The sequence below is a fragment of the Homo sapiens genome, chromosome 11 (genome assembly GCF_000001405.40).
Source record: "Homo sapiens chromosome 11, GRCh38.p14 Primary Assembly".
Lineage (NCBI taxonomy): Eukaryota > Metazoa > Chordata > Mammalia > Primates > Hominidae > Homo > Homo sapiens.
The window spans coordinates 87070074-87082482 of record NC_000011.10 but is presented as its reverse complement, the minus strand read 5'-3'; the positions used below and the strand labels follow the sequence as shown (position 1 = coordinate 87082482).

Genomic DNA, 12409 nt, shown 5'->3' with positions numbered 1-12409 from the left:
TAAATTCTTTTTCCTTACCAAACAAGAACTACAATACTAATATGCTTGATTTTTGGCACTAGATGTAATAATTTTAAAATATGCATAACTTCAACTCTTGCAAATTACTTATAAGCTTTTAATGGATCTTGATATTTAATGAAGTCTTACATAAATTCGTGGTAAGTCAAGAATACTTTTTCAGAGCAAATTAAGCTACTAAAGTAACTCGCAAATTCCAAATACGCACAGACACATTTACTTAAAACAAGACACACTGTAAGGCAACTTGTCAAGAGATTTAAAGAGTTTTAAAGTTTAACTCCAAAGGGAAAAGAAAAAATACAAAACCTGATTTTTTTCTTAAAGTCACTAAGCTTGTGAACAACACTAAAAAACAAAAATTAAAGTTTTTAATTAAATCCAACCAGGAATTGTGATTGTATGCATAGACATACACAACTCTCAACAGAAAGAACTACAGAGCTATCTCCCAGTATTGTTAACTGCATCACCTAATAAACAAAAGAACTAAATCAACACATACACAAAGAGTTCAATAATGTAACAATGAGATCAAGGGAAGGATCAATTTTTCTTCAGCAACCATGTGATAACAGTTATAAAGAAGTTAAAGCTAGACTTAAATTTCTTATTAAGTCGTTAAAACAATAAAACTACTTCAGCTAATATTTAGAATAGGTCATAATCTGTAATACCTAAAAATTTTCTTTGAACAACCAATGTCTAAGAATGAAACACTAGTGCAAAAGCTCATCTACAGGAAAAGAAAAACAGAAAGCTTAAAAAAAAAAAAAACCCTCAGCTATCAAAAGTGAAAATAAAACAGAAAATAAACTAGCAACCCAAATCCACGTTATCACCTTACATCCAGGAAACCTCTCGTTATGCCCTAAGAAGTTATTGCTCTTAATATCAGTAACACTCTTTTACTTTGGTTTTACTGTATTTGAACTAATGTTAGCGTTCAAAGAAAGAGAAAAAACAAACCAACAAACAAAAAACAAATCCAATAGTAAGCAGTCCTAAGATGGACCTAGACAGGTTGCCACATTTTGAGAGGTAGTAAAATGGTAACATTAAGAAACTTCAAAGATGTATATTGTAGTCTATAGAGCAAGCACTAAAAGAAAATAACGAAAAAAAAAATTACAGTGGAATTCTAAAAACAAAACAAAAAAAATCAAACAATACAAAGGAAGTAAGGAGGAACAGACAAATGAAAAGCAGAAAACAAATAATAAAATGGCTCACTCAACCTAGCCATACCAATAAATAATAAATGCCTCAAATGTTAATGAACTAAATAATCTAATTTATAGGCTAACACTAGCAGAATAGATATAAAAAAATAAGACCCCACTGTATATTATCTGCTAAAAAAAAAAACTTTAATTATAAAGACACAGATGTTTGAAATTAACTGGAAAGAAATACACTCTGCAAACTGTAAATATGAAAAGGTTGGAGTAGCTATATCAATATCAAATAAAAATAGGCCAGGCGCGGTGGCTCATGCCTGTAATCCCAGCACTTCGGGAGGCCAAGGCGTGTGGATCATTTCAGGTCAGGAGTTTGAGACCAGCCTGGCCAACATGGTGAAACCCCGTCTCTACCAAAAATACAAAATTAGCCAGGCGTGGTGGCACGTGCCTGTAATCCCAGCTACTCAGGAGACTGAGGCACAAGAGTTGCTTGAACCCGGTGGGTGGAGGTTGCAGTGAGCCGACATCATGCCACTGCACTCCAGCAGGAGCAACAGAGTGTGACTCTATCTCAAAAAAATAAGAAATAAAAAAATCAAATAAAAATAAACTTCAGAACAAATAATATCTGAGCTACAGAAGGACATTCCATATGGATAAAAGGTTCAATTCATCATGACATCATGAAGAAATGGTAACAAAAAAAAAGTGCATGTACCAATAAAACCTTCACAGAAATTGATAGCATTAAAAAGAGAAATAGACAATTCCAGAATCACAGTTGAAGATTTTACACTTTTCTCTCAGCAAATGATAAAACTAGACTAAGAAAATTAGTAAAGATATAGATCAGTAGTTCTCAACAAGGAGAGATTTGTTCCATGGGGAGATGTAGCAATGCCTGTAGGAATTTTTGGTTATCTCAACTTGGTGGGGTGGGGAAGGCAGTGCTAATGGCATGTATAGATACACTGCACAAGAGAGCCCTCCCAGTAAGGTATTACCTGGCCCAAAACATGTCAATAGTGCCAAAGTTGAGAAAACCAGCTGTAGACAAACATCACTGTCAATGATCTTGTCCTTGTTGATATCAAAAAAAAAAAAAAAAACACTGCAAACAGGCAAAAGAAGAAAGCTCAGCCAGGCCTGGTGGCTCATGCCTGTAATCTCAGCACATTGGGAAGCTGAGGAGGGCAGATCACGAGGTCAGGAGTTCGAGACCAGCCTGGCCAATATGGTGAAACCCCGTCTCCACTAAAAATACAAAAATTAGCCAGGCGAGGTGGCACGCACCTGTAGTCCCAGCTACTTGAGAGGCTGAGGCAGGAGAATCGCTTGAACCCACGAGGCAGAGGTTGCAGTGAGCCGAGATCACGCCACTGCACTCCAGCCTGGGCGACAGAGTGAGGCTCCGTCTCAAAAAAAAAAAAAAAAGAAAAGAAAAGAAAAAAAGAAAAAAGATCATATGATCTTATCAATAGATGCAGAAAAGCCATATAACAAAATATTACATCCATTCATGATAAAGGTTCACAGCAAACTAGAAATGAATGTAAACGTCCTAACCCTAACAAAGAGCATCTGAAAAACCACCCCACAGCTAACAATACACTTAATGATGAAAAACTGAATGCCTCCCGCTAAGAGCAGATACAAGATACAAGCAGAAAAAAGGACATACAGATTGGAAAAGAAAGAAAACCATCCCTATTTGCAGGTAACATAATTGTCTGTATAGAAAATCTCAAGGAATGTACCAAAAACTCTTAAAACTAATAAATTCAGCAAGGTCACAGAAGTCAAGATAAAACACAAAAAAATCTACTATATTTATATGTCATATTAACAAATGTGGAAAATGAAATTTAAAACTTAATACTCTCTACTTCACACTACCGACGAAAATTAATTCAAAATGGATGAAAGACTTAAATGTAAGAACTAAAACTATACAACTTTTAAAAGAAAACATGGCCAGGCGCAGTGGCTCACATCTGTAATTCCAGCACTTTGCGGGGCCGAGGCAGGTGGATCACCTGAGGTCGGGAGTTCAAGACCAGCCTGGCCAGCATGGTGAAACCCCATCAATACTAGAAATACAAAAATTGGCTGGGTGTGGTGGCATGCACCTGTAGTTCCAGCTACCTGGGAGGCTGAGGCAGAAGAATTGCTTGAACCAGGCAGGTGGAGGTTGCAGTGAGCAAAGATCATGCCACTGCACTCCAGTGAGTGTGAGACAGAGCAAGACTCCACCTCAAAAAATAAACAAATAAATAAATAATAAAGTAAAATAAAACTTGGAGCTAAATATTCGTCTTGGTAATGATTTCTTAAATACGACACCAAAAACACAACGGGCTGGGCACAGTGGCTCACGCCTGTAATCCCAGTACTTTGGGAGGTGGAAGCAGGCAGATCACCTTAGGTCAGGAGCTCGAGACCAGCCTGGACAACATGGCAAAACCCTATCTCTACTAAAAAAAAAGAAATACAAAAATTAGCGAGGTGTAGTGGCACACACCTGCAGTCCCAGCTACTTGGGAGGCTGAGGCAGGGGAATTGCTTTAACCCAGGAGGTGGAGGTTGCAAAAGCCAAGATCACGCCACTGCACTCCAGCCTCAGCGACAGAGCAAGACTGTGTCACAAAAAAACAAACAAATAAAAAAAAGAAAGAAAAAATAGATAACTTGGACTTCTTCATCAAAATTAAAAACTTTTCTGCTTCAAAGACAAGATCAATGAAGTGAAAAAACAACACTCTGAATGGGAGAAAATATTTGCAAATTATATCTGGCAAGAAAATTATATCTAGAATATCTAAAGAACCCTTACAACTCAATAATTAAAAGATAAATAACCCAATTAAAACATGGGCAAAGGATTTGAATAGACATTTCTCCAAAGAAGATATGTAAATGATCAAAAACTATATGAAAAGATGCTCAATATCATTAGTCATCTGAGAAAAATCAAAGCCATAATGAAATACTTCACACTCACTACAATGACTATCATCAGAAAGACATGTAATAACAAGTGATAGCCAAAATGCGAAGAAATTGGACCCTTTATATACTGCTGAACAAAACAGAAAATGGTACAACCACTTTGGTAAACAGTTTGGCAGTTCCTCAAAAAGCTAAACAGAGTTGCCATATTAAGGCAGCAATTCCATTCCTGAGTACATAATCCAGAAAAATAAAAACATATGTCCACACAAAAATGTGTCCACAAATGTTTAGTGTAGCAACATTCATAACCAAGAAGTGGGACAATCCAAATTTCCATCAACTTATGAATAAATAAAATGTGACATATCCATATAATGAATTATTTGGCAATAAAAAGTAATGTAATGAAATGATACGTATGACATCAAACTTCAAAACCATTACACTAAGTAAAAGAAGCCAGTCACCAATGACACATATTGTATGACTCCATTATATAAAATGTCCAGAAGAAGCAAATCTTTAGAGACAGAAATTAGTGGTTGCCTAGGGCTGGGTGAGGAGGATGAAGGATTAGGGGGTGACAGTTAAAGGGGTTTCTATTTGAGGTGAATAAAGTGTTCTAAAATTGTTTGTGATGGTAGTTAAACAACTTTGTGAATATATTAAAAACAAATGAATTGTGCAGTTTTCAAAAGGGTGAACTGTATGGAATATGAATTATGACTCAATAAAGCTATTACAAAAACAGAAAAATCATTTGCAATTGTTCCCAAAAAGGGAAACAGGTGTAAATCTAACACGTATATGAAACGCATTCTGCAAATTATAAAAACTGATGAAAAGAAATAAAAGATCTAATTAAATGGAGAGATAAACCATGTCCATGGATGGAGCAGCCAAAAACTGAAAATAACATAAATGTCCTTCGACAAGTGAATGTTTAACAAACTCTGGTACATCCATATAGTAGAATGCTACTGGGCAATAAAAAAGGAATAAGCTTAGTAATACAAGCTACATCTTAGATGGATCTCAAAGGCATCATGCTTAGTTTAAAAAAGAAAAAGCCTATGTCCAAACGTTATACATTGCATCATTCCATTTATATAACTTCCTCGAAATGATATAAATATAGAAATGAAAAGTAGACTAGTTGTTACCAGGAGACAGGAATTGATGAAAATGGTGCAACTACAAAGGGATAGTTCAAGGGCAATCCTTGGTAGTGTTGAAACAGTTTTGGACATTGATTGTAGTGGTGGGTAAACAACTCTATACATGGGAACAAACTGCATAGACATGTACACAAATGAGTATACATAAGAATTAGTGAATACTGAATGAAGTCTATAGTGTAGTTGACAGTAATGTCAACTTCCTGGTTTTATATTATACTACAGTTAAATAAGATGTCATCACTGGATACCAGCTCAGCCACAGTAGGAGAAGAGACCAGGCAGAGTCATGAAGGATCCATTCCAAGCCTTGCTCCTGGATGACATTTCTAGACATACCTTGGGCCAAAAGGGAACCTGCTGCCTTGAAGGAAAGCACCCAGTACTGGCAGGATTCATCACCTGCAGACTAACAAGCCCTTAGACCCTGAATAATTAGGAGCGATACCCAAGGAGTATGCCGTAGCCTTGGGCTCTGAGACATGCCCACTACAGATGTGACCTAGCACATTCCCAGCTGTGGCTGGCTATGGCAAAAGACTCCTTCTGTCTGAGAAAAGCAGAAGGAAAACAAAAGGGAACTTTGTCTTGCACGTAGGTACCAGCTTGGACACAGTGGGGTAAAGCAACAAGCAGGCTCCTGGAGTCCCCAAGTCCAGGTCTAGGCTCTTGGACAGCATTTCTGAACCTACCCTAGGCCAGAGGGGGGGCCTACTGCCCTGAAGGGTGAGTCCCAGGCCTGGCAGCATTTACTACAGGCTGACTGAAGAGCCTGTGGTATTTAAGTGAACATCAGCAGTGGCCAGTCAGAAGCCTGCCATGGGCTGGTGGTGGTGGTGCCCACATGGAGAGGCTCCTCTGCCTGTGGAAAGGGGAGGGAAGAGTGGGAAGGACTTTATATTGTGGTTTGAGCACCAGTTTAGCCACAGTGGAAAAGAATATCAGGCAAACTTTTCTTACTCCTATCCCTGGCTCCCAGACAATATCTTTGGACCTGCCCAGGGCCCGGGAGAACTTGTCACCCAGAGGGAAGGACAAAACCTGGCTGGCTTTGCCACCTGTTGATTATAGAGCCCTAGGGCTTTGAGTGAACACAAGTGGTAGCCAAGTAATGGTTACAGCAAGCCTTGGGCAAGACCCACTGCTGTGCTAGCTTCAAGTCTGACCCAGCGCAGTCCCAGGGATGGTAGCCACAGGGATGCTTGTGTCACCTCATGCTCAGTTCCAAGCAGTTCAGCACACAGAGAGAGAGAGAGAGACCCTGTTTATTTAGGAGAAAGTAAGGGAAAAGAACAAGAATCTCTGCTTTAATCCAGAGATTTCTTCTGGATCTTATACAAGACCACCAAGGCAGTACGTACCTCTACACGTCAGCAAAAACCATAATGATATTGGGCTTGGGACCCAATTGTTGAACCAATTCACCAATTCCATGAAGAAATAACTCAGACAAATCAGAAATGTATTACATACAACGAGACAACTGGCCTGGTCACTTCAATAAAGCAATGCTGTAGAGGGAAAAAGTGGAGACACTATCTTAGATTAAAAGAAAATAGGCCAAGTGCAGTGGTTCACATCTGTAATCCCAACAGTTTCAGTGGCCAAGGCAGGAGGATCACTTGAGCTCAGGACCGGCCCAGCCTGGGCTACACAGTGAGACCTCAGCTACTTAATATAAAAATAAAAAATTGGACCGGGTGCAGTGGCGAACGCCTGTAATCCCAACACTCTGGGAGGCTGAGGCGGGCAGATCACGAGGTCCGGAGATCGAAACCATCCTGGTTAACACTGTGAAATCCCGTCTCTACTAAAAATACAAAAAAAAAAATTAGCTGGCGGGCACCTATAGTCCCAGCTACTCGGCAGGCTGAGGCAAGAGAATGGCGTGAACCCGGGAGGCGGAGCTTGCAGTGAACAGAGATGGCGCCACCGCACTCCAGCCTGGGAGACAGAGCGAGACTCCGTCTCAAAAAAAATAAACTAATTAAATTAAAAAATAAAAAATAAAAAATTAGCTGAGCATAGTGGTGTGCACCTGTAGTCCCAGCTACTGGTCGGGGGTTGGGGAGGCGGTGGGAGGGTGGTGTTAAGGCAAGAGGATCTCTTAGGCCCGGGAGATTGAGGCTGCAGTGAGCTATGATCACATCACTGCATTCTAGCCTAGGTGACAAAGCAAGACCCTATCTCAAGAAAAAGTACTTTTAGAAAAAGGAAAAGAAAGAAATACATCAACACACATCAACCTTGACTAGATTCTGGTTCAAAAAAATAGCATTAAAAGCCATTTTAGGACAATATGAACTGGATGGTATGAAAAAATGGTTGCTAATTGTCTTGTGTGTGATAAGAGTGTTGTAATTCTGTAGAAAAATATCCTTATTTTTAAGAGATACGTGCTGAAGTACTCAGGAGTAAAGTGGCATGATGTTTATAACATGTTTCCATATGGCTCACACACATAGAAAAAACACACATTCACATATATTCACATACAAATAAACTAAAATGGCAAAATGTTAATAACCATTGACTCTAGTTGATTGTTACAAAGGTGTTCAACAGTTTGTGTTGAAAAGTAGGTACATAACTGCAAAAATGCTATCTAATTATTTGAGTGCTAAATAAGAGTAAATAGTAGCTACCTTGATTTAAAGCATCTTTAGTTTAATGTAACTGACATATTTCAAAAATATCTTTTCAAAACCAATATACACAGTTTTTCTATTGATTAGGAAGTTACCATCACCAGAATAACTCTACTTACAGGCAAAAAAAACAAAAATAATACTTAACACATATATAACTCTTACTATGTGTCAGGCACTGTTCTAAGCATTTTAACATATATTAATTCACTTAATTATCTAAACAACCCGACAGGCCGGGCCCAGTAGCTCATGCCTGTAATCCCAAAACTTTGGGGGGCTGAGGCAGGCTGATCACCTGAGGTTGGGAGTTCGAGACCAGCCTGGCCAACATGGCGAAACCCCATCTCTACTAAAAATACAAAAATTAGCCAGGCTTGGTGGTTCATGCCTGTGGTCCCAGCTACTTGGGAGGCTGAGACAGGAAAACCGTTTGAACCCAGGAGGCAGAGGTTGCAGTGAACCAAAATCAAGCCACTATACTCCAGCCTGGGTGACGGAGTGAGACTCTGTCCCAAAAAAAATAAAATAAGCCTGGGCGCAGTGGCTCACGCAGGTAATCCCAGCACTTTGGAAGGCCGAAGCTGGTGGATCTCCTGAGGATGGGAGTTTGAGACCAACCTGGCTAGCATGGTGAAACCCCGTTTCTACTAAAAATACAAAAATTAGCCAGGCGTGGTGGCAGGCACCTGTAATCCCAGCTACATGGGAAGCTGAGGCAGGAGAATCGCTTGAACCTGGGAGGCAGAAGTTGCAGTGAGCCGAGATTGCACCATTGCACTCCAGCCTGGGCAACAGAGCGAGACTCCGTCTCAAAAAAAAAAAAATAAAATAAACAATCCTACAAATAGATTATCATTATTTTCATTTTTCAAGTAATGAATATCACGCAGTCAGTGGCAGAGCTGGGCTCCTAAGACAGATAGCACAGCTCCAAAATCCATGCTTCAACAATCATGCTGTACTCTCTTTTCAGGTGGAGTAACCTATGTTCCTGGAATTACTGACTTGATTTTGCTGAGGTTATAACATTCACCAATCCTTTGATTTTAGTCATTCTAATAATCCAAAAGTTTAAGTATTGTAGTCATTGATATAATCAAACAGAGAACCACAAAAATTTAGATACTATGACACTTACAAAAATGTATTAAGAGTGGCTTCATGGGCCGGGTGCGATGGCTCACACCTCTAATCCCAGCACTTTGGGAGGCCGAGGTGGGCGGATCACAAGGTCAGGAGATCAAGACCATACTGGCCAACAAAGTGAAACCCCGTCTCTACTAAAAATACAAAAATTAGCTGGGCGTGGTGGCACGTGCCTGTAGTCCCAGCTACTTGGGAGGCTGAAGCAAGAGAATTGCTTAACCAGGGAGTAGGAGGTTTCAGTGAGCTGAGATCGCACAACTGCACTCCAGCCTAGAGACGGAGTGAGACTCCACCTCAAAAAAATAAATAAATAAATAAGTAAGAGTGGCTTCCAGTAGTTTAATATTTGGTTATTTGATGAGAATTACTCACACTCTTACCAGAGGGCCAATGACTACAATAAGCATCTTCATAAGTGGTTTCAGTACATGATCCTTTCTTGATTTATCTGGGACAAAGGTGGATAAATTCCTCAGCAATAAAAACAATTATTCATGAGATGGCAAGTATTTTCTTATGGCAAAACCTTTAAACTTTAACTGTTTACCTGACTGAACAGTTTATGTAAGTTTGCAACATTTTATAGAAATCATATTTATTCACATGGAAAATTTCAGGCTGATAACAATAAAAAATTTTTTTTAAATACAAGATGTCTTAAAAATAATTGGGCCAGGCACAGTGGCTCACACCTGTAATACTAGCACTTTGGGAGGCCAAGGCGGGCGGATCACAAGGTCAGGAGTTTGAGACCAGCCTGGCCAACATGGTGAAACCTTGTCTCTACTAAAAAAACACAAAAACTAGCCGGGCATGGTGGCATGCGCCTGTAATCCCAGCTACTCGGGAGGCTAAGATAGGAGAATTGCTTGAACTCGGGAGGCGGAGGTTGCAGTGGGTCGAGGTCGCACCACTGCACTCCAGCCTGCGCAACAGAGCAAGACTCTGGCTCAGAAAAATAAATAAATTAGTAATAATAATAATAATTGATTTGAGATCAATTACTCAATTACTCAAAGAGCCTGAAGCAAAGTAAGCGAAGTACAGATCTAGATGATAATAAAAAACTATTGTTAATTTTCTTAAGTGTGAAATGCTATTATGGCTATGGAAAAAATCTTTGATTATAATTTGTTTGTTTATTTGCTTGTTTTTTGAGACAGGAGTCTCACTCTGTTGCCCAGACTGAAGTGTGGTGGCATGATCACGGCTCACTGTAGCCTTGACCTCTGGGGACTCGGGTGATCCTCCCACCTCAGCTTCCTGAGTAGCAGGGACTACAAGAGTACATCATCACATCCAGCTAATATTCTTTGTATTTTTTTTCGTAGAGACAGGGTTTTCCAATGCTGGCCAGGCTGGTCTCAAATTCCAAGGCTCAAGTGAGCCACCCGCCTCAGCCTCCCAAGGTGCTGGGATTACAGGAATGAGCTGCCTGGCCTAGAATTTGCATAGCCATATTTTAGTTAGGTCACATTATAGAACTCTCTAATCTTTTAGTAAACAGAGGCTATTACTGCTCTATAATGTCCACTTTTATATTTTTATAGACAATAAATATAAAATACATATAAACATTAATATAAAATTAATTTTCAATTAAATATCTGCAGAACCGAAAAAATATATCTAGAAATATTTCTCATCCCTGTAAGTGATAATTAAAAAAAAAAAAATTATAGTTGGGGTAGGGGACAGGTAATCAGTTCCGTTAAATAAATATATGAAATTTTACCTGCTTTTTCTTTCAATGAGAATGGCCACATAAGATGCTGGCAGAGCGGCACCAAAGCCAGGAGTCCATGAGTAGAATTTTCCAAGTATCTTCCTGAAATTCAAATTTGGAATTTTTGTATGAAATTCCTAGTTGGTCACTTCAGTTATTATGAATAGAAGTTTCCCTTCTCCATCCATACTCTATTTAAATGTACCACACTACCTCAAAATAAACATATTCAAAATCAAACTCATTATCTGTCTCCCCTAGCCCCATGAACTTGTTCTCTCTCCTCTATTTTCCTAGGTTAATAGCATCAACAACCACCTATCCACTTATGTTTGACAGGCGTCATCCTCAACTTTGTTTCCCTTACCCCACATATTAAATTATTCCCTTAAATTATTACAGATGCAATTTATCTTTCAAATTCCTCTCCAACCTACTGCCCCTGCCTTAGTTAAGTCTCTCACTAACTCTCATTAAGGCGGCTACAGTAACAACTAATGGGTAACACTCCTTTCAGTAACAGCCGGCCACATTCATTCAGGCATTCCCTGGATCCAAACCTGCTGGCTATGCAAACCCTCTGGCTTCTCAGTTTCCTTTATTTATCAAATGAGGATAATATTACCTATCTCATAGAGCCATTAAGAGAACTATATGAGATATTTCCCAGAGCCAGGCAGGACACATAACAAGTACTCAGAAAGTGTTAGCTGTTATCACTATTATTATGACTATTTTTTCAACACATGGTAGACATTCAATAAATGTTTTCCCTTCTTTGCTTCCACAACCCTTGATAACTTTTTCTTACAGCATTTACTAAAGTATTTTATACGTTTTAGTTTTATGTGTACATCATTTTTCATGTACTAGAGTATATTCCTTGAAAGTAGGAATCCTCACAGTGCCTCATAAATGACAAATGACAAATGACCAGTAGCTGTCTGGGTTTCGTTTTTGGTTTGGTTTTTTGTTGTTGTTGTTGTTTTTAGATGGAGTCTTGCTCTGTTGCCCAGGCTGGAGTGCAGTGGTGCAGTCTCGGCTCACTGCAACCTCTGCCTCCTGGGTTCAAGCGATTCTCCTACTTCAGCCCCTCCCGAGTAGCTGGGATTACAGGCGCTTGCCACCACGCCCGGCTAATTTTTTGTATTTTTAGTAGAGACCATGTTGGTCAGGCTGGTCTCGAACTCCTGACCTCATGATCCATCTGCCTCGGCCCCCCAAAGTGCTGGGATTACAGGCGTGAGCCAACGCAGGTTTTTTAAGAGAAAAAAAAATATTTGGAGACATGAGGAAGTTTTTTTTCCTTGAAAACATATGTTCCTAAGAAAGGGAGAAGTAGCAAGTAAAAATTATAAGAAATTATCTGAACAAAGTTGGTAAATTGCTAAATTATACATTATGAAAATTATATAGATAGATATATATAAGAATAAAGCTTTTTCTTTTTTTAGAGACAAGGTCTTGCCCTGTCACCAGGCTGGCATGCAGTGCTACAATCATGGTTCACTGTAGCCCGAAATTCCTGGGTTCAAGGGATCCTCCTGGCCT

General features: G+C 39.3%; 1 protein-coding gene across 4 annotated transcripts in view; it reads right to left on the bottom strand.

The window, feature by feature from the left end:
* The window catches only part of TMEM135 (transmembrane protein 135), a 290891-nt gene that overhangs the window by 246342 nt on the left and 32140 nt on the right, over nt 1-12409 (bottom strand). For 3 of the 4 annotated variants that reach the window (NR_033149.2, NM_022918.4, NM_001168724.2), the window contains exon 3: nt 10868-10960. Coding sequence is in view for 2 of the 4 variants with exons in the window: in NM_022918.4 (NP_075069.3) it covers nt 10868-10960 (93 nt within the window). In the remaining 2 variants the exon portion in view is untranslated. Of the gene's footprint in view, nt 1-6696; nt 6811-10867; nt 10961-12409 lie in introns of those variants that run through there. The other variant, XM_017018141.3, reaches the window with a different exon arrangement.